The 27,150-nt window shown below is 47.8% G+C and overlaps 2 protein-coding genes across 22 annotated transcripts in view; both read left to right on the top strand.

The window, feature by feature from the left end:
- GALNT6 (polypeptide N-acetylgalactosaminyltransferase 6) overlaps positions 1 to 4,090 on the top strand; it is a 40,422-nt gene extending 36,332 nt beyond the window's left edge. For all 21 annotated transcript variants that reach the window (XM_006719214.3, XM_005268607.2, XM_047428175.1 and 18 more), the window contains one exon: positions 850 to 4,090. In XM_006719214.3, coding sequence (XP_006719277.1) covers positions 850 to 963 — 114 coding nt within the window. In that variant the 3' untranslated portion in view covers positions 964 to 4,090. The remainder of the gene's footprint in view (positions 1 to 849) is intronic.
- A 4,572-nt stretch (positions 4,091 to 8,662) lies between these two features.
- Positions 8,663 to 26,900, top strand: CELA1 (chymotrypsin like elastase 1). The gene is made up of 8 exons (NM_001971.6): positions 8,663 to 8,719; positions 9,465 to 9,547; positions 11,489 to 11,589; positions 12,642 to 12,767; positions 13,962 to 14,098; positions 15,337 to 15,482; positions 25,509 to 25,658; positions 26,748 to 26,900. Exons 1-8 carry the CDS (start codon positions 8,704 to 8,706, stop codon positions 26,763 to 26,765), a joined length of 777 nt encoding a protein of 258 aa, NP_001962.3. The 5' UTR covers positions 8,663 to 8,703; the 3' UTR covers positions 26,766 to 26,900.
- The last annotated feature ends 250 nt before the right edge of the window (positions 26,901 to 27,150 follow it).

The following is a 27,150-nucleotide window of genomic DNA, read 5'->3' as shown; positions in this document are numbered from 1 at the left end:
GCTTAAAGGGTATTTGGTGATGACTGATGTAAAAATGGGGTGACAGGTTATGGTTCGTGGCTAGCTCTGCCATGGCTGAAGCATTTTTAGGCTGAACCCAATTAGAAGAAGGTGAAGAGTCATTCATAGTTCCTGCTTGTCCTCTGTGTCCTAGGCTCAAAGCTAGGCACTCACATGCCTGGGTCCAGTTAATCTTTCAGAGGCTCTTTCCAAGCAGGAATAGTCACTGTTTCTACAGATGAGCTGGAGCCGGAGGAAGCCCAGCATGTCTGTGACTGGCCCAAGACCCATCACTAGTAAATGGCAGGCCTGGGATTTAGCCCCAGATGGGTCTGACTTGAAAGCACGGGCTCTTTCCATTACACCACACTGCTCCAGGATATGCCATGTAACCGCCACCATGCTGAGCTCAAGCCAGCACCCCAAGTGAGCCTCCCTACTCCACCCCAGCTTAGGAAAGAGGAACCTAACCTGGAGGCTGCAGGGAAGGGAGCAGTCTAAACATAATCCAAGGCAGAAAATTGGAGGTGGAGCAGTGGCCCTGGGTCTTTGAGCCTGGCCATCTGGGGGTGCGGGAGGCCCTGAAAGCATTTTTCTCTCAGCCCATGGTCTTGTCTTTCACCATTTCATCCACTCAGTCTGAAGCTAGGGATGGGGATTTGGCACCAGATAGAGGTGGGAACTCAGGAATGTGTCTCATGAGAGGGCAGGAAAGGAATGGGGAAGTGTCCTCTTTGTGCCTTGTGGGGTTCCCTTGGCTTTTGTCAATTGCACCCCATCGCATTGTCCCTGGTAGCACCGTTAAGAGGTCTGTGGCCCAGACTGACCTTTTGCTTTGTCATCTTTTAGGATCAGCTCATCAGGAACTCAGGATCTGGTACCTGCCTGACATCCCAGGACAAAAAGCCAGCCATGGCCCCCTGCAATCCCAGTGACCCCCATCAGTTGTGGCTCTTTGTCTAGGACCCAGATCATCCCCAGAGAGAGCCCCCACAAGCTCCTCAGGAAACAGGATTGCTGATGTCTGGGAACCTGATCACCAGCTTCTCTGGAGGCCGTAAAGATGGATTTCTAAACCCACTGGGTGGCAAGGCAGGACCTTCCTAATCCTTGCAACAACATTGGGCCCATTTTCTTTCCTTCACACCGATGGAAGAGACCATTAGGACATATATTTAGCCTAGCGTTTTCCTGTTCTAGAAATAGAGGCTCCCAAAGTAGGGAAGGCAGCTGGGGGAGGGTTCAGGGCAGCAATGCTGAGTTCAAGAAAAGTACTTCAGGCTGGGCACAGTGGCTCATGCCTGAAATCCTAGCACTTTGGGAAGACAATGTGGGAGAATGGCTTGAGCCCAGGAGTTCAAGACCGGCCTGAGCAACATAGTGAGGATCCCATCTCTACGCCCACCCTCCCCCCGGCAAAAAAAAAAAGCTGGGTATGGTGGCTTATGCCTGTAGTCGCAGCTACTCAGAAGGCTGAGGTGGGAGGATTGCTTGTTCCCCGGAGGTTGAAGCTACAGTGAGCCTTGATTGTGTCACTGCACTCCAGCCTGGGCAACAGGTAAGACTCTGTCTCAAAAAAAAACAAAAAAGAAGAAGAAAAGTACTTCTACAGCCATGTCCTATTCCTTGATCATCCAAAGCACCTGCAGAGTCCAGTGAAATGATATATTCTGGCTGGGCACAGTGGCTCACACCTGTAATCCTAGCACTTTGGGAGGCCAAGGCAGGTGGATCACCTGAGGTCAGAAGTTTGAAACCAGCCTGGACTACATGGTGAAACTCCATCTCTACTAAAAGTACAAAAATTAGCTGGGCATGATGGCACGCACCTGCAGTCCCAGCTACTTGGGAGGCTGAGGCAGGAGAATCACTCGAACCCAGGAGGCAGAGGTTGCAGTGAGCCAAGACAGCACCATTGCACCCCAGCCTGAGCAACAAGAGCGAAACTCCATCTCAGGAAAAAAAAAAAAAAAAAAAGTATATTCTAACAGACAGATCAGAGGTCTAAGAGATCCTCCCTTGCTATTATTACCTGAAGTCTGTAGAACTGTTTACAGATATCTCCTTGACAGGTGTCCTTTATCTTACTTTATCTGTACAGTAATCCTGTGAGAAAGACAGGACAGAAACCACTGTGCCTATTTTACAGATACGAAAACTGAGACACAGGTAAAGGGGCTTGTCTGTAGTCCCATAGCTAGCAGATGGCTGGAGCCAAGACTGAGGCTCGTTCTTCAATGCTGAGCCAGGGCTCCTTCCGCTGCACCACAAGAACGCTAGACCACTCGCCACCAGCCTTCTCATTCCCTCTTCCTCCATTCTAATCATTTCTAGCTGGCTGGCCTCCACAGAGCATAGGAAAACAGCCAGGGCCGGGCACGGTGGCTCATGCCTGTAATCTCAACACTCTGGGAGGCCGAGCCGGGTGGATAACCTGAGGTCAGGAATTCGAGACCAGCCTGGCCAACATGGTAAAACCCCATCTCTACTAAAAATATAAAAATTAGCCAGGCATGGTGGCGCACACCTGTAATCCCAGCTACTCAAGAGGCTGAGGCAGGAGAATTGCTTAAATCTGGGAGGCGGAAGTTGCAGTGAGCCAAGATCGCGCCACTGAACTCCAGCCTAGGCAACAAGAGCAAAACTCCATCTCCAAAAAAAAGAAAGGAAAAACAGGGCCAGGTAGCCATTGTGGAGAGAGCACACTTAGGAATCCTGGGATGTTAGTGTTAAAAGAAAGCTCCTGGAGCCAGTGATTCTCAGGTTTGTCCCAGAACCCTTTTTTCTAAGCCCCATATAAAAGGTAGATTAAAAAAACAAAGTAGCATGAGTGAAATTGAGAGAGGGACAGGTAATGCCTTCCAGCCCCTAACTTCTAACAATCTGGAAGCACAACGTGAAAATCACGTAGCCCAACCCTATCATTTTCATATTATGAAACTGAGTCCAGGTAAGTGAATCTGTCCAAGGTCACCCAGCAAGGTATCAGTAGCCCTGAGGGTAAGGACTCTGATAAGGCTCGGGAGGGTCCTGGAAAGCCTGAGGCGGCAGGAAGAGTGTGCAGAGTTGAGCGTGTCTGGAAGGCTGATCCACTGCTGGGCCCACATCAAAGCCCCCATGGGGAGCAGACCCGACTGCACATGGCTCTTTTGCTGGAAGAAGAGCATGGCTGCGCAGAGGACTAAAATTTCATCTGGGAAGGCTTCTTTTGACTGTCAGTAGCAGGATGTCACCAGATGAGGGTGCTATGGGACCACAGCTGTCTTTGTTCCCATTGCAACTCAACCCTGCGGGAGGCCGCCTACATCCCTGAGAGCCTTCTGGAGCCTACAGAGGAGACATTGGCCAGCCAAAAGGAAAGGAGTGGCCAGGGTACGACCTGGAGTAGGGAAGGGAAAAAGTTCCCGGAAAGAAGAGAATTGGATGAGAGGTCTCAGTGGAAATAAAGGTTTTCTGGCATTGGTCAAGGAAACTCGCGTTGTGTTCTCTTACCTGTGTTGTCCCTTAGCTGAATCAGTTGATTTGGGCTATGAAGAACCACACACATCTGAAAAGTTCTGTTACAGCCACTGTCTCATGTCCCCAAACATTCTCTGGCCCTAAATCTAGCTTATGTATTGTGTCAAGCACGTGGAGACGTGAGACGTCAAACGAGGTCCTGTCCCCGTGGAACTCACACGCTAAATGTAAGCAAATCATAGCAAGCCTGGAGATGCTCCAAGAGGTGCTGGATGAGTTAGAAGGAGCAATTCCTTCCACTTAGGGAATCAGATAAGGCCTCACAAAGATGGCAATGTTTGACCTAAGACCTCGGAAGATGAGTCCTCAGATGGGAAGGGCTCAATAAGCAGAGTTGTTACACAGGCAGCAGCCTGGCAGGAGCAAAGCCACAGAGGACATGTGGCCCCAGTGGGTCTGAGAAACCCAGAGGACATTGGGGTGAGGGAGTGACTGGTGTAGAAGCTGGAAGATCAGAGTTACATCATGAATTTCAGGGGCCCTAGGCACTTTAGCCTTCACGGAGCTCTTGCTCCATTCAAAAAAAAATTAATGTTATGACTATGTTGGTATAAAGATGAATGTAATCCAGGCTGATTGGATTTACTTTATTTCTTCTGGTTTTAAAAGAAGCTAAAACATTTCTATGGGCCCTGGGCACTGCACCTGCTGTGCCTACTGGGTAACTCAGCCCCGTACAAGAGTGGGTTGGGGCCCAGTTGAGAGAGGCTTTGGTAGGTCCGGTAAGCCACAGGGAGTCGTGGAGCCTAACCCTAGCCTTATTCTTGGTTGCATTAAATATCCAAACGTGGATCCCAGTATCCCTCATACTGTCTATGGTATCACCCAACAGCTCCCCAGCCTAATCATATGATGTAGCCCAACCAAGGTGCCCAGCTGTGTCAAGAAGGTTCCACCTGCCCCCAAATAGCATAGCACTTCCCAGGCACAGTCAGCCAAGAGCTACTCGCAGGGAGTGGGAGATGCAGCAGGAGGGAGACACAGGCTGTGTCTAGAGAGGAGGTCTGGGTTCAGGGATGAGGGGAGGACTAGGGAAGGGAGGTGGTGGAGAAGAGGGAGAAGGCACTGATGGGAGTGGTGGGAAGGCTCAAGAAACTAGCTTTGGCCAGGCACCAATGTCTGACAACTGTAATCCCAGCACTTTCAGAAGCCGAGGCGGGCAGATCACTTGAGGTCAGGAGTTCAAGACCAGCCTGGCCAACATGGCGAAACCCAGTCTGTACTAAAAATACAAAAGTTAGCCAGACGTGGTGGCAGGCGTCTGTAATCCCAGCTACTCGGGAGGCTGAGGCACAAGAATCGCTTGAGCCTGGGAGGCAGAGGTTGCAGTGAGCTGAGATTGTGTTTCAGCCTGGGTGACCGAGTGAGACTCTGTCTCAAAAAAACAAACAAACAAACAAGAAACTAGCTTCTTCATGGCATTTTCCTTAGTCAAGCCTGGCCTGGCCCTAACAACACCCGTATTCTTCCTTAAAACCCACCCCTCTGACCACTCTCAGCTAACCTAAGGCCCCTACCTCTTAAAACCCTGCTGCTAGCCCTGTGCTACTATCTCCCGGCTCTAGGAGTCTCTCACTCTAGCATTAAAGAGCTAGGCCTCTCTGGGGATCTGTTTCCCACATGAAGAGTACTGGGGCCATTGCCACAAATAGCTAGATGTCCCAGAATTTATTCTTATTTTTAATTACCAAAGTAATACTGTGCCAGCCTGGCCAACATATCGAAACCCCGTCTTTACTAAAAATACAAAAATTAGCTGGGCGTGGTGGTGGGCACCTGTAATCCCAGCTACTCGCAAGGTTGAGGCAGGAGAATCGCTTGAACCTGGGAGGTGGAGGTTGCAGTGAGCCAAGATTGTGCCACTGCACTTCAGCCTGGGCAACACAGAGAGACTCCATTTTGTTTTGTTTTGTTTTTTTTAAAGTAATATTGTGGAGAAAAGTCAAGTGATCTAGAAAAGTGAGGTTTAAAAAAGTGAAATTTGCTACTTGGGAGGCTCAGGTGGGAGGATTGCTGGAGCCCAGAAAGTCAAGGCTGCAGTAATTTGTGATCGTGCCACTGCACACCAGCCTGGGTGACAGAGAGAGACTCTGTTTCAAAAAAATAATAAAGCTATATAGTATTCCATAGCAGGGTTAAACCCAATTTATTCAGTCTTCCTCTACTGATGAATACTTAGCTTTTTTCCAATTTTGCAACAAGCTTTGTGACAAACTATACTGTAACCCACAACCTCGAACATTTATTTTTCTGCCTGTTTTTTTGTTTTGTTTTGTTTTGAGACTGGGTCTTGTTTTGTCACCCAGGCTGGAGTGCAGTGACACAATCATGGCTCACTGCAGCCTCGACCTCCCATGCTCAAGGGATCCTCCCACCTCAGCCTCCCAAGTAATGGGACTACAGGCATGCGCCACCATGTTTTTTTCATGTTTTGTAGAGACAAGGTCTCATTATGTTGCCCAGGCTGATACCAAACTTCTGGCCTCAAGCAGTCCTCCCGCCTTGGCTTCCCAAATTGCTGAGATTACAAACATGAGCCACCATGCCCGACCAGTGTTTATCTCAAAAGAATTCATTCCTAGAATTGGTATGCAATGTCAGAAGAAATGCAATGCCTCAAAATTTAAGTCATTGTCTGGCTGGGCGGGTGGCTCATGCCTGCAATCCCAGTACTTGGGGAGGCTGAGGTGGGTGAATCACTTGAGCTCAGGAGTTTGAGACTAGCTTGGGCAACATGGTGAAACCTCGTCTCTACAAAAAATACAAAAATTAGCTGGGCATGGTGGCTGGCACCTGTAGTCCCAGCTACTTGAGGGGCTGAGGTGGGAGGATCGCTTGAGCCCAGAAGATGGAGGTTGCAGTGAGTTGAGATCATGCCACTGCACTCTAGCATGGGCAACAGAATGAGACCCTGTCTTAAAAAAAGAAAAAATTTAAGCCATTGTCTATGCCTAACCCTAAGAGTAAGATTTTTTTTTTTTTTTTTTTGAGATGGAGTCTTGCTCTGTTGCCCAGGCTGGAGTGCAGTGGCACAATCTCGGCTCACTGCAACCTCCACCTCCAGGGTTCAAGCAACTCTCCCTGCCACAGCTTCCCAAGGAGCTGGGATTACAGCTCCCAAGCACAGGGACTACACCACAACGCCTGGCTAATTTTTGTATTTTCAGTAGAGACGGGATTTCACCATGTTGGCCAGGCTGGTCTGGAACTCCTGACCTCAGGTGATCTGGCCCTGCTGTGATGTAAAGAGGTAACCTTCAGGAGGCCCTCAAGCCTCCTCTTGGACTCCTCATCCTGGGGCTAGAGGCCAGAGGAAGCAGGGAAGCGGGAGGAGAATGACCAAAGAGGCCCCGGGTTCCCTAGCGCAGCTCACCCCTCTTCCCTGAGTGTGCCAGAATGCTGGAGGGCAGGCTGGAGAGCAAGCTCTTCAGGTTATCTGAGCATCAAAGTGCAACTCCTCTGAACAGCTCTAGACACTGAAAAAGTGACTGTGCAGATTCCTTCAAAGAGCATTTTCCAGGTTTCTCCCACCCCTGCAGCCATGAAGCTTGGATTCTGGAGTGTTTAGGCAACAAAAGCCCTGGGTGGGCAGGTGATGGTCCTGCTTCTGTCTAGGTTCCTGGCTTCTCCCTGCCTAATTCCAAACCCCATGCGTTGCTACCATGACTGCTGCACCCACAGTCCTCTGCTCTGGAGCCTGCAGTGGCTCTGATCATTTTGTGGCCAACCCAAGGGTCCTCTGCCCACCTCAAGGCACATTGCAACTCTTTTCTCTCTCTATTTATTTATTTATTTATTTATTTATTTATTTATTTATTTATTTATTTTGAGACAGAGTCTTGCTCTGTCTCCAGGCTGGAGTGCAGCAACCTCCGCTTCCCAGGTTGAAGCGATTCTCCTGCCTCAGCCTCCAGATTAGCTGGGACTGCAGAAGCGCACCACCATGCCCAGCTAATTTTTGTATTTTGTTTTTGTTTTTTTTTAGATGGAGTCTCGCTCTGTCGCCCAGGTTGGAGTGCAGTGGCGCGATCTCGGCTCACTGCAAGCTCCGCCTCCCGGGCTCACGCCATTCTCCTGCCTGCGCCTCCCGAGGAGCTGGGACTACAGGCGCCTGCCACCACGCCCAGCTAATTTTTTGTATTTTTTTAGTAGAGACGGGGTTTCACTGTGTTAGCCAGAGTAGTCTCAATCTCCTGACCTCGTGATCCGCCCGCCTCCGACTCCCAAAGTGCTGGGATTACAGGCATGAGCCACCGCGCCCGGCCAATTTTTGTATTTTTAGTAGACGGGGTTTCGCCATGTTGGCCAGGATGGTCTCGATCTCTTGATCTTGTGATCCGCCCGCCTCAGCCTCCCAAAGTGCTGGGATTACAGGCGTAAACCACCGCGCCCGGCCGCAACTCCCTTCTCTCTCCTCTACGAACTGTGATGAACAAAGCCTTTCATCTCCTGCAGGAACCTCGGCTCCTACCCTCGTTCTCCCTCTGCCCTCCACCCTCCATCTACCCTCATAGCCCTCAGACTGTCTTCACATCCCAAGGATCCCCTCCTCTACCCTGCCTCATATTCTCCTCTGGGAGCCCCTTCTTGGCTCTCCATCTGAGAGGGCCCAAGCCTGTTTCTCAGTACTTTCCTCCCCCAGAATTATCTCCACTGCATCTATTTGGCTTTTGTGTCTGCATTTACACCTATGCCTGCATCCTGGGGGCATGTGCCATCTCCCTCTTTGGGCAGAGAGAGTTGCTGTGTCTTCCTTGCCCTTGCTAACCACTCCCCCCTCTTCCACTATCCCCCTGGCCTCCAGCTGCTAGTGCACAGGGCAAGTCTCTGCATTTATGGTGCCACTGAGGACAACGAGAGAGTGATGGATGACAAGGGGTGCTCCCTTAGAGAAAAACCAGCCCTGGTTCTCCATCTTATTTCTGAAAAAGAGTTTGTTGGATGCTTTTCAATTAAAAGCAGATGATTAATTCAGCCCTGGCCTTGTTCTGTCTTTGAATAACAGATACATTAGTTTACTTGAAAAGAAATATTTTCATTTGTATTTCCATGTCACTTGTGATTTTCCCTGCCTTGCACCCTCAGCCCTGCCAGTTGGCAAGAAGACAGTCAGCTTTGCTGCTAAGAGGAGTATAAAGAGGGCTTGGTCCAAGCAAGAAGGCAGTGGTCTACTCCATCGGCAACATGCTGGTCCTTTATGGTAAGTGGATATGGTCCAGTCGCAACCCTGGTCCTTTATGGTAAGTGGATCATGTGGCCTGAGGTCTATAGGGAGGGGGACTTGGGCAGGAAGGTCAGCAAATTTTCCCTAAGTCCAGGCCAGCACCCTGTCCCAGGGCAGGTGGGACGCTCTGCCTGCAGAGCGTCCTTTACTCTCCTGGAGGCCAAGATAGAAAAGGTCAGGGCCACTGGCTATTCAGGCCCCTCTGGGTGGCAGGTCCCTGGGCCACAAAGCAGAGAGAAGCCCCATCTGGTAGTGGGGTGGGTCCCTGGGCTTCCCCACCACCCCCATTGACAGGAGGACTTCCTCAGCAGGTGCCTGGCTGGGGTGTGCACTGCAGGCCCTGAACCCTGGAGAATCTTGCCAAAGCATTAGGGGGCTGGTGGGGGTCAAAGAGTGGGGGGGGGTCTCTTCAGGCCAAAGGGTGATCTTGAGCAAAGAGGAGACCACAAGGAGCCTCTGGGGCCTAGCCTGGTGGTTTGAGAGAGGTCCTTCATAGCATGCCGGAGTTCTGGGAACACCTGGGGGAAACAGAAGGCACCCAGGCACCCCTGTTTTCAAAAGGGGCTCAGAGAACTCACAGCTGGGCCCCTCATTCGTTAGAGAGGAACTGTGAATTTGCAGACAAGGCTAACATTCCTCAAAGCACAATCGCCACCCCCCACCCCTACCCCTGGCTGACCCCATGCTTAGTCATCACTCACTTTTCTTCTGCCCCACAAAGGACACAGCACCCAGGACCTTCCGGAAACCAATGCCCGCGTAGTCGGAGGGACTGAGGCCGGGAGGAATTCCTGGCCCTCTCAGGTGGGTGTTCCTTCCCAGCCCCAGACTTCCACCCAAATAAGAGCTCAGTGCATGACATAAGGTATCATGTGTATTTGTGCATGTCCCTATCAACAAGCAGCTCTCCAATTGTCTAGGTTCTCGATTTTAAAGATGGATGGGATCAGGCTTAGGTGGTTTTCTAAATGCAAAAGGCTTGGAGGAGGGGATTTATACACCAACCACAGTCCCTCTTCAAGGCACACACCCAAACACAAGATACATTTATATTCTCAGCGACAGCACTTGTGCCACGCAAGAAAGACTGGGTGCCAGACAGTCACCTTGGACTCCACATACCTTGAAACTCACACGCACACCACTCCACACTGTGTGTGTCACAATGCTTGCACGCATGTGCGCGCACACACACACACACACACGTACAGCATGCTGCTTAGTTGGCTATTTAGAGTTTCCACTTTGCTAACAGGGCAGCTGGGCCCTGATTTAAGTGATCTAAATATGTAAACCTGGCAAATTAACTGATGAAGATCCACACTTTGAGAAGATATCACTGCAATCAGAGTTTTAGCTTATAAAAGTCTGAGCCCCAGTTTTCAGGAGTAGAGCTATTACATAACATGAGGTGCTAGAAGAAGAGACATGAACTGATAAAAACAAACATCCTATTGGTATTTTTTTTTTTTTGAGATGGAGTTTTGCTCTCATTGCCCAGGCTAGAGTGCAATGGCATGATCTCGGCTCACTGCAAACTCTGCCTCCTGGGTTCAAGCAGTTCTCCTGCGTCAGCCTCCTGAGTAGCTGGGATTACAGGCGCCTGTCACCATGCCCAGCTAATTTTTGTATTTTTAGTAGAGACGGGGTTTCACCATGTTGGCCAGGCTGGTCTCAAACTCCTGACCTCAGGTGATCCACCCGCCTCAGCCTCCCAAAGTGCTGGGATTACAGGCATGAGCCACAGCGCCTGGCCTCCCATTGGTATTTCTAAGTAGTCCCTGAAGTGGGGAGACAGGAGATGTCTTGAAAACACTAAAGGTACAGCTCTGGAGACCTAAGCCTGTTGGGCTTAGGTGATGGAGCAAATCTTTGCCTATAGTTCCTCTTTTTTGGGGGAGGAGAGGGGGCGATGGAGTCTCGCTCTGTCACCAGGCTGCAGTGCAGTGACGCTATCTCAGCTCACTGTAACCTCCACCTCCTGGGTTCAAGCAATTCTCCTGCCTCAGCCTCCTGAGTAGCTGGGACTACAGGTGCATGCCACCACGCCCGACTAATTTTTGCATTTTTAGTAGAGATGGGGTTTCACCATGTTGGCCAGGATGGTCTTGATCTCCTGACCTGGTGATCCACCCGCCTTGGCCTCCCAATGTGCTAGGATCACAGGCGTGAGCCATGGTGCCTGGCCTATAGTTCCTCTTTAAGGGAGAACAGAGGTAGAAGGAGTTCCAAAAAAGGAGTTACAATGGGTTCTAGGTCCATTGCAACAACCTAGAGAGATAATGCCAAATACACTGTGTGCCTTTACTCCTCCATCCATGTACACAGCAAACATCACCAAGCGATGGAGCATCCCTTCCTGCTGGCCCCAGAAGCATCTACACACCCCTTATCAATGCCACACTCCAGGTGGCCACTACCAAGCAATCAGTAGCAATTGGCAGGTCAGATGAAACCTATTTGCCATCTCTAGCCTAGAAAGAGAATGTTTTGAAGGACAGCAGGACTTTAAGGAGGTGACATGTAGTTTGAGGCAAAGTCTTTTATATTTAATTATTTTTGACGTTGTAGAGGCGAGGTCTCACTATGTTGCCCAGGCTGGTCTCCAGCTCCTAGGCTCAACTGATCCTCCTGCCTCAGCCTTCCAAAGTTCTGGGATTACTGGCATGAGCCACTGCAACCGACCTGGGGCAAAACCATTTGAGAAACACCAACCTATCCCTTCTTTCTTTCCTCCCCATCTAGATTTCCCTCCAGTACCGGTCTGGAGGTTCCCGGTATCACACCTGTGGAGGGACCCTTATCAGACAGAACTGGGTGATGACAGCTGCTCACTGCGTGGATTAGTAAGAAAAACAAAGACAAGCTTTCCTGGGCCCCTGGAAGGGGAAGGGGCTGACCTTCTGAAAGAGGATATAATTTTGCCCTCTCTGGACAGCACTTCAGGGACTGGGCAGTGGCTCCTTTCCTGTTCAGGGCCTGCAGGGAGGTAGTATGGTGAAAGTACAAACTTTGGAGTCAGGGAGACTCAAATTCAAATCTTGCTCCACCAAATTCTAGCTATGTAGCCTTGGGCAACTATGCCCCCATTCTCCTATCTCTAAAGTGGGCTAAGAACATTTACTTTGTAGAAATGTTGTGAGGATTGAGTAAATATGTAAGTGCCTAGTCAATGTCTGACTGGTGACTATTTTTTCCTATTTGTCTTGGGCAATGGTTTTCACATTTGAGCATGTGTCAGAATCACCTGGAAGGCACAGATTGCTGGGCCCCATCCAGCAGAGTTTCTAATTTGGTAGGTCCAGGGTGAGGCCTGATAATTTGCATTTCTAACAAGTTTCCAGGTGATGCTCATGCTGCGGCCCAGGAACCACGCTTTAAGAACAACTAGCCTAAAAGTCTATGCTTCCTTCAAAATCTTGGTGGCTGAGAGCCATTATTTCATTTATGCGCACTACACCTCTCCCAGTTTACAAGATATTCAGCCTATGATGTTAAACCGAGAAAATCAAAGTGATGGTAGTTTTTTTCACTTCCACAAGTTAGTCAATTAGGGAATGAAAGAGCTTGTTACTTTCTCATTTTGGAGAGTCTTATATCCCTCCTCTGCCTAGACCAGATAAGATGGGTTCCTGTCCTAAAATAATAAACAAAACCTGGGCACGGTGGCTCACACCTGTAGTCCCAGCTACTAGGGAAGCTGCGGTGGGAGGATCACTTGAGCCTGGGAGTTTGAAGCCAGCCTGGGCAACACAGCAAAACCCCATCTCTAAAAAAAAAAAAAAATTTCCTAAATAATAATGATTAAAAAAAAAGATGGTTTTTCAACTTTTCTCTAAGTGGGGTAGAGAAGGTTTGAGTCCCCTGGATGACTCAGGGATTCCTTCTCTCACGCCAGCCAGAAGACTTTCCGCGTGGTGGCTGGAGACCATAACCTGAGCCAGAATGATGGCACTGAGCAGTACGTGAGTGTGCAGAAGATCGTGGTGCATCCATACTGGAACAGCGATAACGTGGCTGCCGGGTAGGAGCAAGTCCAAGCTGGCCCTGGGCTGGGCGGTGAGGCCTGACTAGCCAACAACTGGCTGCCTTCACCTGTTCTTTCAGAGGGCTAGAGGGATTGCATGGCCTGAAACCTGGTCCGTGGCTCCTGGCCTGGCCTTTAGTTAAGGAGCCCAGCTGAGCCTGAGAGAAGGCACCATGTCCTAGAGGGAGCAATGAGCTGGCTCATTCGTCCAGGAGGACTTTGAGAATTTAGGTTCTGAGCCAGGCACAGTGGCTCATGCCTATAATCCCAACACTTTGGGAAGCCAAGGCAGGCGGATCACCTGAGGTCAGGAGTTTGAGACCAGCCTGACCAATATGGTGAAACCCTGTCTGTACTAAAAATACAAAAAAAAAAAAATTAGCCAGGCATGGTGGCATGTGCCTGTAATCGCTTGATTACAGGAGAATCACTTGAACCCAGGAGGAAGAGGGTGCAGTGAGCTGAGATCGCGCCACTGCACTCCAGCCTGGGTGACAGAGTGAGACTCTGTCTCATAAGAAAAAGAGAACTGACGTTCTGGAGGGCTTGAGAGTCTTTGAAGACCTTTAGGATTTGTTGGATCCAGGCTGGTTTGCACAGTGGATTACCATTCTCTGCAGATTTTAATGTTCTGTTTCTATGGGGGGTTTTATCATTATTTATTATTCACATTATAGAATAGACTCCATCAGCAAAAGTAAATTTCCTAAAGTGAATCTTACACGGGAAAATTGCAAGTTGAGTTGTAAACTTCTGGAAAATAAATAATTAAAACGGTGGTCAATTCTATAGCATGTGCAGGTGGGGGTGGGTTCAAGGAATTGGGATATTCTACTGAGCTTGTAGAGCCACTCAGCCTTTTACATTTTTCTTGTTTGAGAACTCTGCCACCAAGATCATGCCACTCTGCTCCTTTCAGATTCCCCCATTCTCTACTTCCCGGGGTTGCAAAGGTCAGAGCTAGGCTGCAATACCAATGTCCCACCAGCAGATGCTGCTGTTAAACATAGAATGTTTACATGTTAAATTGTAATTGCTCTAGTTTGAGGCTTAGCAAGTGAGCCCCGTCCTTCTTCAAAGTCGTCACTTTCCAATTCCACGGGGATACAAATGCTTAGAGAGGGCCAGTGTATATGCTGACCTCAGGGAAGAGCTGATCCCATGAGTGAGCAGTCTCCTTTTCTCCTGCAGCTATGACATCGCCCTGCTGCGCCTGGCCCAGAGCGTTACCCTCAATAGCTATGTCCAGCTGGGTGTTCTGCCCCAGGAGGGAGCCATCCTGGCTAACAACAGTCCCTGCTACATCACAGGCTGGGGCAAGACCAAGAGTAAGTTGCCTACATTGGCACAATCCACCACGGGGATCTTGATTAGGTAGCTGAGCTTCTAAGACACCTTTTTCTGTGGTCCTAGGTGCTTATGGCCAGAGACCAGGAGCTAAAAGAACCATAGATACAATAACTGATGCATTATATCAAGCTAAGAATGGGCTGTGAAGTAGTTGACAGATTCATGGACTCTTAGAACAAAAAAAGACTTTATCAGAGAATTTTTTTTACCAGCCCCTCATTTTTAAAATTTATTTATTTATTTAGAGACAGGGTTTTGCTCTGTCACCCAGGCTGCAACCTCCACTTCCTGGGCTCAAGTGATCCTCCCACCTCAGCCTCCTGAGTAGCTGAGACTATAGGCATGTACCACCACACTCAGCTAATTTTTAAATTTTTTTGTAGAGATGGGATCTCGCTATATTGCCTAGGCTGGCCTCGAACTCCTGAGCTTAAGAAATCCTCCCACCTTGGCCTCCCAAAGTGCTGGGATTACAGGCATGTGCCACTGCAGCCAGCCAGCCCTTCATTTTATACATGAGGAAACCAAGGTCCAGAGAAATTAAGGATCCTTAGCTGAGTGTGGTGGCATGAGTCTGTAGTCCCAGGTACTCAGGAGGCTGAGGAAGGAGGATCGCTTAAGCCTGACCAACATGGAGAAACCCCATCTCTACTAAAAATACAAAATTAGCCAGGCATGGTGGTGCATGCCTTTAATCCCAGCTACTCGGCAGGCTGAGGCAGGAGAATCTCTTGAACCTGGGAGGCGGAGGTTGTGGTGAGCCGAGATTGCTCCATTGCACTCCAGCCTGGGCAACAAGAGTGAAACTCCATCTCAAAAAAAAAAAAAAAAAAGAAAGAAAGAAATGGAAACAAGCATGCACAATCCCATTTCTGCTCCATGGAGCTTGCAGGAGCAAACAGAACAGACAGATAAATCATCCACAAATAAGGCCATTCCATGGTGCAACTAAGTTATCCACGAGTGAAAAGAAGCAGGAGTAGGGTTGGTGGCTTGGAGCCTAGGTACAGTAAGCAAGGCTGCCTCCCTGAGGGAAGGGTCCTGTGCGGCCATATAAAGAGAGAAGACAGAGGATCCACCACATGCAACAGGGAGAGAGAAGGAGTTTGCCCTGAGCTCAGCTTTCACGAGAGTTTGGGAAGGTGTGGCAGGGGTGGAAGGTTTTTCTGCTGGACCACATCTGGAGCTGACTGCCAATGCCGTGTGTCCTGTTCAGCCAATGGGCAGCTGGCCCAGACCCTGCAGCAGGCTTACCTGCCCTCTGTGGACTACGCCATCTGCTCCAGCTCCTCCTACTGGGGCTCCACTGTGAAGAACACCATGGTGTGTGCTGGTGGAGATGGAGTTCGCTCTGGATGCCAGGTGAACATTTGCAGGGGGTCCCACCCCAGGTCCCGCCACTCTCTGCCTATCCCTCCACCCCTCTTCCTCACCTCCCTATTCGACACTTACTCTTAGTCCTACACAGACTCAATTTTCTACTCTGGCGTCTAAGTGAGAATGATCCTGTGCTGGTAATTCTACACATGCAGAAACTCAAAGTTGAAAGGAACCTTAAAATTGATCTTGCTCGATGCCCTCACTTCAAAGTTTGTACGTGGCCCAACATTTATATGTTGTTGTTGGTATATGTGTGTGTTCTTAGAATTTGTTACCTAGATTTTTTTTTTGAGATGGAGTTTTGCTCTTGTTGCCCAGACTGGAGTGCAATGGGACGATCTCGGCTCACTGCAACCTCCGCCTCTGGGTTCAAGCAATTCTCCTGCCTCAGCCTCCCAAGTAGCTGGGATTACAGGCATGCACCACCACGCCCGGCTAATTTTTTGTATTTTTAGTAGAGACAGGGTTTCTCCATGTTGCTCAGGCTGATCTCGAACTCCCGACCTCAGGTGATCCACCCGCCTTGGCCTCCCAAAGTGCTGGGACTACAGGCGTGAGCCACCATGCCCAGCCAAATTTGTTACCTAGATTTTTTAATGGCAGCGATGCAGCTGAGCCTGGACAGGTGGTTGTGATGCTGTATAAGCAGTACCCTGCTCCCTCTTACCTATCAGTCCTACTTCTCTTGCAGTTCCTCTACCACCATCCCTTTACCCCAGTGATATTTCTGGCAGTATGTACAGGTGAGTTTGATAGGGGAAAGTGCACAAAATAATTTTATAATAGCTTATATATAACAAATATAACCTTCCTCTATTTTGACAAGATCAATCAGCCATAAACTATCTTACAGATTTCTCTTTTTAAGCTTTTTTTATTATTATTATTTTAATATAGAGATGGGGTCTTGCTTTGTGGCCCAGGCTGGTCTCAGACTCCAGGGCTCAAGTGATCCTCCCACATTGGCCTCCCAAAGTGCTGGGAATACAGGCGTGAGCCACCATGCCCCACCCCAGATTTCTTAATGCAGTTTAACAACTATTCATTATATATCTACTATATGCCAGGCATTGTGCTAAGTGCTAAGGTTACAAAGATGGATCAAACAGTGTCAAGTAAAGAAACCAGAGGCACAGACATACAATAGAACATTGTAATACAATGTGGTTAAGTGTTAATAATCAGGATGTGCACAGGTGATATGGAAGCCCAAGGGTAGGTACCTACCTCTACCTACTGGGGCCAGAAAAGACTTTCCTTCCCCAAGAAACTAGAATTTGTAGTGGGTCCTGAGGGGCAAATAGGAATAGGCCAGGCAAAAAGGAGAAAAGACATTCAGAGGGAGGGAACGGCATGAATAAAGGCAGGGGGCCAAGAAACAACCTAGAGTACATACAGAATTATGGGGCATTCCCTAAGGCTAGAGTAGAGCAGCGGCTGGAGGTCCACAAGCCGAATCTAGCTCACTGCTTGTTTTATATGGCCCATGAGCTTAGAACAGTTATTACATTTTGATTTCTATATATATATATATATATGTATGCGTATGTGTATGTGTGTGTGTGTGTGTGTGTGTGTGTGTGTGTATGTTTTTTTTTTTTCCTGAGATGGAGTCTCACTCTGTCGCCCAGACTGGAGTGCAGTGGCGCAATCTCAGCTCACTGAAACCTCTGCCTCCCGGGTTCAAGCAATTCTTCTGCCTCAGCCTCCCGAGTAGCTGGGATTACAGGCACGCACCACCACATCTGCTAATTTTTGTATTTTTAGTAGAGACAGGATTTCACCATGTTTGCAAGGCTGGTCTCGAACTGGCTGGTCTCGGACTCCTGACCTCGTGATCCACCTGCCTCTGCCTCCCAAAGTGCTGGGATTACAGGCATGAGCCACCGCGCCTGGCCATATACATATATATATATATTTGTTTTTTTTTTGAGACAGCGTCTCACTCTGTTGCCCAGGCTGGAGTTCAGTTGTACCATCATGGTTCACTTGTAACCTCTGCCTCCCAGGCTCAAGTGATTTTCCCACCTCAGCCTCCCTAGTAGCTGGGACTACAGGCACATACCACCATACCCAGCTAATTTTTTGTATTTTTTGTAGAGACAGGGTTTCACCATGTTGCCCAGGCTGGAATTATTACATTTATTAATGGTAAGGAAAAAAAATCAGAATAATAATATGTCATGACACATGAAGAATATATAAAATTTCAGTGCCCATAAATAACATTTCACTGGAACACAGTCACAGTTGCTCATTTACAAACTGTTTATGGCTGCTTTTTTTTTTTTTTTTTTTTTTTGAAGAGATAAGGTCTTGCTCTGTCACTCAGGCTGGAGTGCAGTGGTGCCATCTTGGCTCACTGCAGCCTCAACTTCCTGGGCTCAAATGATCCTCCCACCTCAGCCTCCCAAGTAGCTAGGATCACAGGCACATGCCATCACACCCAGCTAATTTTGTTTTGTTTTTGGTAGTGACAAGGTTTCACTATGATGCCCAGGCTGGTCTTGAACTCCTGGCCTCAAGCAATCCTCCTGCCTTGGCCTCCTGGAGTGCTGGGATTATAGGCGTGAGGCACCATGCCCAGCCTATGGCTGCTTTTGTAGTACAACACAAAGTAGTTGCAATCAAGACGGTATGGCCTGCAAAGCCTGAAATATGTACTGTTTGGCCCTTAACAGAAGAGGTTTGCTGACCCGTGGGCTAGAATAGAAGCTACCACCATACTAGGAAATGTCAGGAGGTAAGACTAGAGAGGCAAGCAAGAGCTGTACAACTCAGGGCTTCAAATGCCAGGCTTGGGGACATGAACCTTATCTCTTGGGCATTGGGAAGCCATCAAAGACTTCTAAACAGGAGACTAGCACAACCAGATTCACCTTTTAGAATTGTTCTTTAGGCATGTTTTTGAAGAAGACAAGAGAGGCAGGGAGATTGCCTAGAGGGCTATTGCAATGATCTAAGCAAGAAATTTGAGGGCCTGAATTAAGGCAGTGGTGATAGGAACCGGAGGAGGGAAGGAGGAGGATCTGGAACAACAGCCAAGCATCTGGTTTAAGTGATTTGGGGGAGGGCACTGTTGCCCTGAGACAAGATTTACAGAGTTTGAGAGAGAAGATGATGAGTTTGGTTCTGGACAACCTTTGTCTGAGATCCCAGTGGGACATTCAGGTATAGCAACCAGTAAGAAATTTGGTGTTTTTTTTGTTTTGTTTGAGACGGAGTCTCCCTCTCTCACCCAGGCTGGAGTGCAGTAGCGCGATCTCAGCTCACTGCCCCCTCTGTCTCACGGGCTCAAGTGATTCTACTACCTCAGGTTCCTAAGTAGCCGGGATTACAGGCATGTGCCACAACACCTGGCTAATTTTTGTATTTTTAGTAGAGACGGGGTTTCCCCATGTTGGCCAGGCTAAGTCTCGAACTCCTGACCTCAGCCTCCCAAAGTGCTGGGATTACAGGCATGAGCCACCACGCCTGGCCAAGAAATTAGATAGAAAAAGTGGGGCCTGGGGGAAGAGCTGGGCTAGAGATACCTACTGAGAACAAATCAGATCCCATTCCAGGGAAAAACTGTTCAATGAGAAAAGAGCAGTGGGTTGGGAAAGAACTGTCAGAACATAAATACTTGAGTGTTTCAGGGATAAGTGGAGGATAAAGAAACCACTAGGATCTAAGAAAGGAGAAGTAGATGTAAGATAAAAACCTGGTAATAAGGATATTATGAAATCTCAGGAAGTACTTACAGATATCACATAATATACAATTCACCCAGAAGCCACAGTAGGTAAGAGCTGAAAGTGGCCACTTTGGCAATTGTAACCTTGGCAAGAGCAGTTTCAGTGGAGTGGTGAGGGCAGAAGCTTGTCCGAAGGGTAAGAAATAAAGAGGCAATAAGACATATAACCAGCCGGGTGTAGTAGCTCATGCCTGTAATCCCAAGATTTTGGCAGATTGAGGCAGGAGGATCGCTTGAGCCCAGGAGTTAGAGACCAGCCTGGGAAATGTAGGGAGACTTCATCTCTATGAAAATTTTAAAAATTAGCTGGATGTGGTGGCGTGCACCTGTAACCCCAGCTACTTGGAAGGCTGAGGTGGGAAGATCACTTGAGCCAAGGAGTTCGAGGCTGCAGTGAGCTATGATCGCACCACGGCACTCCGGCCTGGGCAACAGAGTGAGACCCTGTCTCAAAAGAGGACAAAAAAAAAAAAAAAGGAAGAACAAAAAAAGTCTGGTAGCTTTAAGGACAGCAAGTCATGGAGGGAGTGGATCTTCTAAGAGAAGAAAATTGGCCGGGCGCGGTGGCTCCCGCCTGTAATATCAGTGCTTTGGGAGGCTATGGCGGGCAGATCACAAGGTCAGGAGTTCGAGACCAGCCTGGCCAGCATGGTGAAACACCATCTACTAAAAATACAAAAAAGTAGCCAGGCATGGTGGCGCGTGCCTGTAATCCTAGCTACTCAGGAGGCTGAGGCAGGAGAATTGCTCGAACCTAGGAGGCAGAGGTTGCAGTGAGCCAAGATCGCACCACCGCACTCCAGCCTGGGTGACAGAGTGAGACTCCGTCTCAAAAAAAGAGAAAAGAAAATTGAGTGCATAAATAGGCAGAGAGGAAAGAATCCTGTAGAGTCAGACAGAGGTAATAATAATAATGGATGGCACAAGATCCCACAGAAGAAAGAGATGGAACTAAGAGCACAGGTGGAGCTGGCTCTGAACAGGAAGAGGGATACCAGATGTGCACACAGACATAGAAAAGTTTGCTGGATTTGGTAGCCGAACGTTGGCAGGTGTTCTACATTATTGCTTCTAGTTACTCATGAACTAGGAGGAGTCAACTTGACTGCTGAAAATGAAGGGGAAAGGGTTGTATGGGTCTGGACTAGTTAGTGTGAATGGGAGGACAGTCCTCCAAGATGTTGCTGACTGGCTGTTTGGAGACCAGACTACGACCACATGGATATATGATTCACTCTGTTTTACTCAAAGACGGTTTCCTGCATGATTGGGGTAAAAGGACAGGATTGCAGATCAACTGCAAGGTCCAAACTAGATGGAGGAGAGAGAGAAGCTGGCAGGCTGGCTGAAACTATAAAAAATGAAAGGATTAGGCCAGGCGCAGTGGCTCATGCCTGTAATCCCAGCACTTTGGGAGGCCAAGGCAGGCGGATCACGAGGTCAGGAGATCGAGACCATCCTGGCTAACACGGTGAAACCCCGTCTCTACTAAAAATACAAAAAAATTAGCCGGGTGTGGTGGCGGGTGCCTGTAGTCCCAGCTACTCGGGAGGCTGAGGAAGGAGAATGGTGTGAACCGGGGAGGTGGAGCTTGCAGTGAGCTGAAATCGTGCCACTGCACTCCAGCCTGGGCAACAGAGCAAGACTCTGTCTCAAAGAAAAAAAAAAGGATTAAAAAGTTTTTTGTGTGTATGAGTACAAAGAACCATGGAAATAAAGTAGCCAATTCATCCTAGTTTGCCCTAGACTTTCCTGGTATTAACATTTAAAAGTCCTGTATCCCAGGGACTCTACATGGGAATAAGGGGGAAAATAGACTAATGCATAATGCAACCTCTTCTAGGCCTTCATCAGCCAGCTTCACCTATAACCTCCTAAGGTTTAACCTTTCTGAGTGAATACACATGCCTGTGCTCTCCCATAAGCCCTGAGCTCTAAAAAAACGAGTACTTTTCTTCTGGCTGCCACTCCAAATTGACAGTTCTCAGAGGCAATTGTGTCCCCAGGTCCCTCCCCACTGGAGTTTCTCAAATAGTGTGTCTTCTGGGCTTTCACAGTTCTGGGTCTCCAACCCTTCTCCTCAGAATGGATTCACTTAGAACCTCCCATTTCAATCAACCCATCCCCACTGATTTCTTTTCCAACTCTTCCTTCTGCTCTAAAATCCTCAGCCACACCCTCCCTCTCTCCTGAGGCTTGGTCTCTTTTCGGGTCAATTAGCACAAGACAATAGTATTATATACAATTCATTTATCTATCATTCCTCTAGCCCCTGAAATACTCTCAAATCCCTGATAGAATTTTGGTGGAAGAGATTGTTTTGTTTTGAGTACAATAATCTAAAGAAAACATCGTTTCCTAAATAGCAGTTAGGGTGGAGTACAGGTAGTTCCACTTTAAAGTAATTACCCTTGACTGGGCGTGGTGGCTCATGCCTATAATCCCAGCACTTTGGGAGGCTGAGGTGGGAGGATCACTTAAACTCAGGAGTTAGAGATTAGCCTCAGCAACATAGGGAGACCCTGTCTCTGCAAAAATTTAAAAAATTAGCCGGGCGAGGTGGCGCACACTGTGGTCCCAGCTACTTGGAATACTGAAGTGGGAGGACTGCTTGAGCCCAGGAGATTGGGACTGTGGTGAGCTATGATCATACCACTGCACTCCAGCCTGGGCAGAGGCTCTGTCTTAAAAAAAAAAAAACAAAAAAAAAACAGTCGGGCTCAGTGGCTCATGTCTGTAATCCCAGCACTTTGGGAGGCCACAGTGGGTGGATCACCTGAGGTCAGGAGTTCAAGACCAGCCTGACCAACATAGTGAAACTCCATCTCTACTAAAAATGCAAAATTAGCCAGGTGTGGTGGTTTATGCCTGTAATCCCAGCTACTTGGGAGGCTGAGGCAGGAGAACTGCTTGAACCTAGGAGGCGGAAGTGGCAGTGAGCTGAGATCATGCCATTACACTCCAGCCTGGGCAACAAGAGCGAAACTCAGTCTCAAAAAAAAAAAAAAATTAACGGGGAGTGGGGCTACACATCTATACTCCCAGCTACTCAGGCGGCTGAGGCAGGAGAATCACCTGAACCTGGGAGGTGGTGGTTGCAGTGAGCCGAAATGGCACTACTGCACTCCAGCCTGGACGACAGAGCGAGACTCCATCTCAAAACAAACACACACAGAATTATCCCAGTTTGAAATTTTGGTCTCTTTCCCTAGTTTTTTTTAAGTTTTACTTTTGTTTGTTTGTTTTTGAGACAGAGTCTTGCTCTGTTGCCCAGGCTGGAGTACGGTAGCGTGATCTCAGCTCACTGCAACCTCCTCCTCCTGGGTTCTTGTGCCTCAGCCTCCTCAGTAGCTGGGATGACAGGCATGAGCCACCATACCTGGCTAATTTTTTTTGTATTTTTAGTAGAGTCGGGGTTTCGCTATGTTGGCCAGGCTGGTCTCAAACTCCTGGCGTCACGTGATCCACCCACCTCGGCTTCCCAAAGTGCTGGGATTACAGGTGTAAGCCACCACACCTGGCCCCAAGTTTTACTTTTTATTGAAGCTTAAATTGGCAAATAAGATTATGGGGCTCAATAATGGAAAAGAATAGCTACTCTAGTTCTCCCACCCCATGGGAGGCCACTTTCAACTCTTCAGCTGATTCTTTTGGTGTCTACATCTTTAAAATTATATACTTACACTGCTATTTTTGTGTTGACATTATGGCAGATGTGATTCTCTTTATTTTTTATATATACATACCTGCCCTCCAAGCATGACATTTTCTGATCACCATCTCAACCTCTCAAAATATTTTGGTTAGATCAACATTCGGCATTTACTATGATTATATAAAATGCTATTTACAACAAAATCATGTAATATATTCTAGGTTTACTTTTCATTTGCTGCATAACTTTTTTTTTTTTTTTTTAAAGAGACAGGATCTTACTCTGTCACCCAGGCTGGAGTGCAGTAGCACAATCACAGCTCACTGCAGCCTTGAATTTCTGGGCTCAAGAAATCCTCCCACCTCAATCTCCTGAGTAGCCAGGACTACAGGCACATGCCACCACACTCAGCTGATTTTTTAAAATTTTAATAGAGATGGGGGTCTCGGTTTGTACCCCAGGCTGGTCTCAAACTCCTGGCTTTAGCTTAAGCAGTCCTCCTGCCTCAGCCTCCCAAAGTGCTGGGATTACAGTCATAAACCACCAAGGTCAGCCCTTGCTGCACAACTTTTTCAATTTTTTCAATGTCTGTTAAAAATTGTCTTTTTCATTTGCTTAATATAGTCAGTTTTTCATTAATTCAACCCCACACACTCCACTAATTTGTTAAGTGACCTATATCATCTTCTCTTGACCTAGTGGTCTATGTGGATCTATTTGCATTCGTTGTGAGGGATACTTAATGGGTGGGTTTTCCCGGAAACTCCAGACCTTTGATCCAGAAAATGTTGTTTATTTGTTGATTTCCTCCCACTCTATTTTCACTTTTCTCTTTCTAGAATTTCTGTTATTCACATGTTTGCCTCCTAAGCTGGTCCTCTTGTTTTCTCTATATCTTGTTTGTTCTATCTTATGTTCCAACTCTTCCAGTCTCTCATTTCTAAATCTATCAAATCTGTAATTTCCAAAGGCTCTTTTTGCTGTCTGAATGTTGTTTAGTAGTATGCCGTTCTTGTATCATGGATGCATATTAGTCATGTTTTTTGTTTGTGTGTTTGTTTTGAGACGGAGTCTCGCTCTGTCGCCCAGGCTGAAGTGCAGTGGTGCAATCTCAGCTCACTACAACCTCCAGCTCCTGGGTTCAAGCGATTCTCCTGCCTCAGCCTCCTGAGTAACTGGGATTACAGGCATGTACCACCACGCCCGGCTAATTTTTGTATTTTTAATAGAGTTTTAGGGGTTTCACTGTGTTGGCCTAGTCTTGAACTCCTGACCTCAGGTGATCCGCCCGCCTCAGCCTCCCAAAGTGCTGGGATTACAGGTGTGGAGCCACCATGCCCAGCCTATTAGTTATGGTTTTATTGCTTGTTTTCTTCTCCCTGCATAGTCTTGGTTGCCTTCATTTTTTTATTTAGCTCCTTGTTTCTTTGTTTCAATCTTTATTTTTATATTAGATGAATTCCTTTTTTTTTTTTTTTTTTGAGACAGAGTCTCACTCTGTCGCCCAGGCTGGAGCCCAGTGGCGCCATCTTGGCTCACTGCAAGCTCTGCCTCCCGGGTTCACGCCATTCTCCTGCCTCAGCCTCCCGAGTAGCTGGGACTACAGGCGCCCACCACCACGCCCGGCTAATTTTTTGTATTTTTAGTAGAGATGGGGTTTCACCGTGTTAGCCAGGATGGTCTCGATCTCCTGACCTCGTGATCCGCCCGCCTCAGCCTCCCAAAGTGCTGGGATTACAGGCATGAGTCACTGGGCCCGGCTAGAGGCATTCTTTAGATGTTTAGTGATCCTTAACCATCTGCTTTTATTTCAGAGTGGGGGTGGTATTTTTACCCAGAGTGGGTGGGCTGATTGGTAGCTCTGAGCCTTAGATGGGGTTCATCAATAGTGGATTCTCTGTCAGGTGATCTGGCTAGGCCATTTTAGTGGAGGACCTCCAATGTCAGTATCTTTAGGTCTTTCCTCTTGGACTGTTCAGTTTTTCCAGAGAAGTATCTTCCCATTTTATGTGTGGCATTATGGACCTGGCATTCTAGAAGCTGAGTAAGAAGGGAGGCAAGATCATATTCCATAAACCCAGGTTCCCAGTTGAGCATGTGACCTAATACATCACTTTCCTCTTCATTCCAGTTTAGTTTAGCATGTTTTGACTACCAAGTCTAAATACTTGGTCTAATTATACCCATTGGTCTAAATGCTGGGGATAAAGAAATTATTAGAATGCCCTATTTTTGCCACCCCAGGTTCAATTTAAGCCAATAAAAGCGATTGAACTTTAGATATTTAAAGTTCTATGCTAGCATTGTGGAGAGGAAAGATCTTGGTAAGAGTTTTTGTCTCAGGAAGCTCATAGACATGTGTGAGGAGGTACAAACAAATTATGAAACCAAAATACAAGGCAGAACATGAAATAAGTGCAGCAAAAGAGAAGAAGTATTGTGGTTGTTTAGAAAGGAAGAAGAGATTCATTTTGATTGTGGGGACATGAAGGAGGTGGAGATTTGCATTGGAGCTTTAAAACCGTACAGAATTTCACAACCAGAGACGGGGGCGGGGGGAGTGCAAGCAAAAGCCCGAAGATCTGGAGTTTTAGGATTCTGTTTCTCCTCCCTGCAGGGTGACTCTGGGGGCCCCCTCCATTGCTTGGTGAATGGCAAGTATTCTGTCCATGGAGTGACCAGCTTTGTGTCCAGCCGGGGCTGTAATGTCTCCAGGAAGCCTACAGTCTTCACCCAGGTCTCTGCTTACATCTCCTGGATAAATAATGTGAGTCCTCTCAAATGATGGGTTGAAATGGGGTCACCTGGAGACCTACGCACTGGCTGGGTTGGGGAACAAACGTTGGATGGACTGGGCAAGCCGTCATCTTCCTTACCACATTCATGTGTTTACTCCCTTCCCTTCCTTCCACGGTGTACTTTCCTTCAATAAGGCTGCCATCCTGAATTCCCTCCCCTCCACATACCCACAGAGCAGACTTCACTGTATTGTTTATTGCTTAGGGTAAGACAGTGGCAACATCAAATCTGAATCAGGGACATATCAGTGCCTTCCTAAGTCAAAGCCCAGGGAAAAACAGGTTCAGAAAGGCCTGCGTACTCCTAGGCAAGGGAAGGAGGCACCGACTTCCTCTCCCACAACGTCTTTCTAAGGACATTATGATAATTTGCTCTAACTTTTTTTTTTTTTTTTTTTTGAGACAGAGTCTCACTGTGTCACCCAGGCTGGAGTGCAGTGGCTTGATCTCGACTCACTGCAGCCTCTGCCTCCTGGGTTCAAGTGATTCTCCTGCTTCAGCCTCCCAAGTAGTTGGGATTATAGGCATGCACCACCAAACCTGGTAAATTTTTTTTGTATTTTTAGTAGAGATCGGGTTTCACCATGTTGGTCAGGCTGGTCTTGAACTCCTGACCTCAAGTGATCCACCTGCCACCCAAAGTGCTGGGATTACAGGCATGAGCCACAGCGCCCGGCCTGCTCTAATTTTTGACAGGTTTTACCACCTTAAATAATGCTTGAGAGTTAGGTGAGGCTCTGCCTACACTGACCTGGTGGAAAGGCCACACAACACATTTCACTGTGCCCTCCACCCTTCAAACACATTCTGGAGCCTTGTGTATTAATCTTGGCTCACGGCCATTTCAAGGTCTGTCTTTGCCACTGTATTCTGGGTATGTACCTATAACACTGAGCTGTCCTATCACAGTTGAGGCTGACTTCCTGCCTCCCTGTCCCCACACCCTGTCAACTTCCCATAAACCCAGTACAAAACCATACTTAACTGGGAGCCCTGAGGAAACAAGAAAGGAGGTAGGCAGGAGTTACTGACTGTGGACATAACTGTCTTTCCTTCAGGTCATCGCCTCCAACTGAACATTTTCCTGAGTCCAACGACCTTCCCAAAATGGTTCTTAGATCTGCAGTAGGACTTGCGATCAAAAAGTAAAACACATTCTGAAAGACTATTGAGCCATTGATAGAAAAGCAAATAAAACTAGATATACATTATCATACTGTGTCTATTTGTAATTAAGCCCTCCAGAGCAGGGGTCCCTATGCCTGATGATCTGTCACTGTCTCCCATCACCCCCAGACAGGACCGTCTAGTTGCAGGAAAACAAGCTCAGGGATCCCACTGATTCTACATTATGGTGAGTTGTATAATTAGTTCACTATATATTACAGTGTAATAATAATAGAAATGTAGTACACAATAAATGTAATGCCCTTGAATCATCTCGAAACCATCCCCCACCCC

Source organism: Homo sapiens, chromosome 12, assembly GCF_000001405.40.
Source record: "Homo sapiens chromosome 12, GRCh38.p14 Primary Assembly".
Classification (NCBI taxonomy): domain Eukaryota; kingdom Metazoa; phylum Chordata; class Mammalia; order Primates; family Hominidae; genus Homo; species Homo sapiens.
This window is presented reverse-complemented; position numbering and strand designations above follow the sequence as displayed.

Coding starts and splice junctions, on each gene's coding strand:
- CELA1 (NM_001971.6), top strand. Junction 9,548..11,488: donor GGAATTCCTGGCCCTCTCAG/GTGGGTGTTCCT, acceptor CTCCCCATCTAG/ATTTCCCTCCAGTACCGGTC. Junction 12,768..13,961: donor AGCGATAACGTGGCTGCCGG/GTAGGAGCAAGT, acceptor TTTCTCCTGCAG/CTATGACATCGCCCTGCTGC.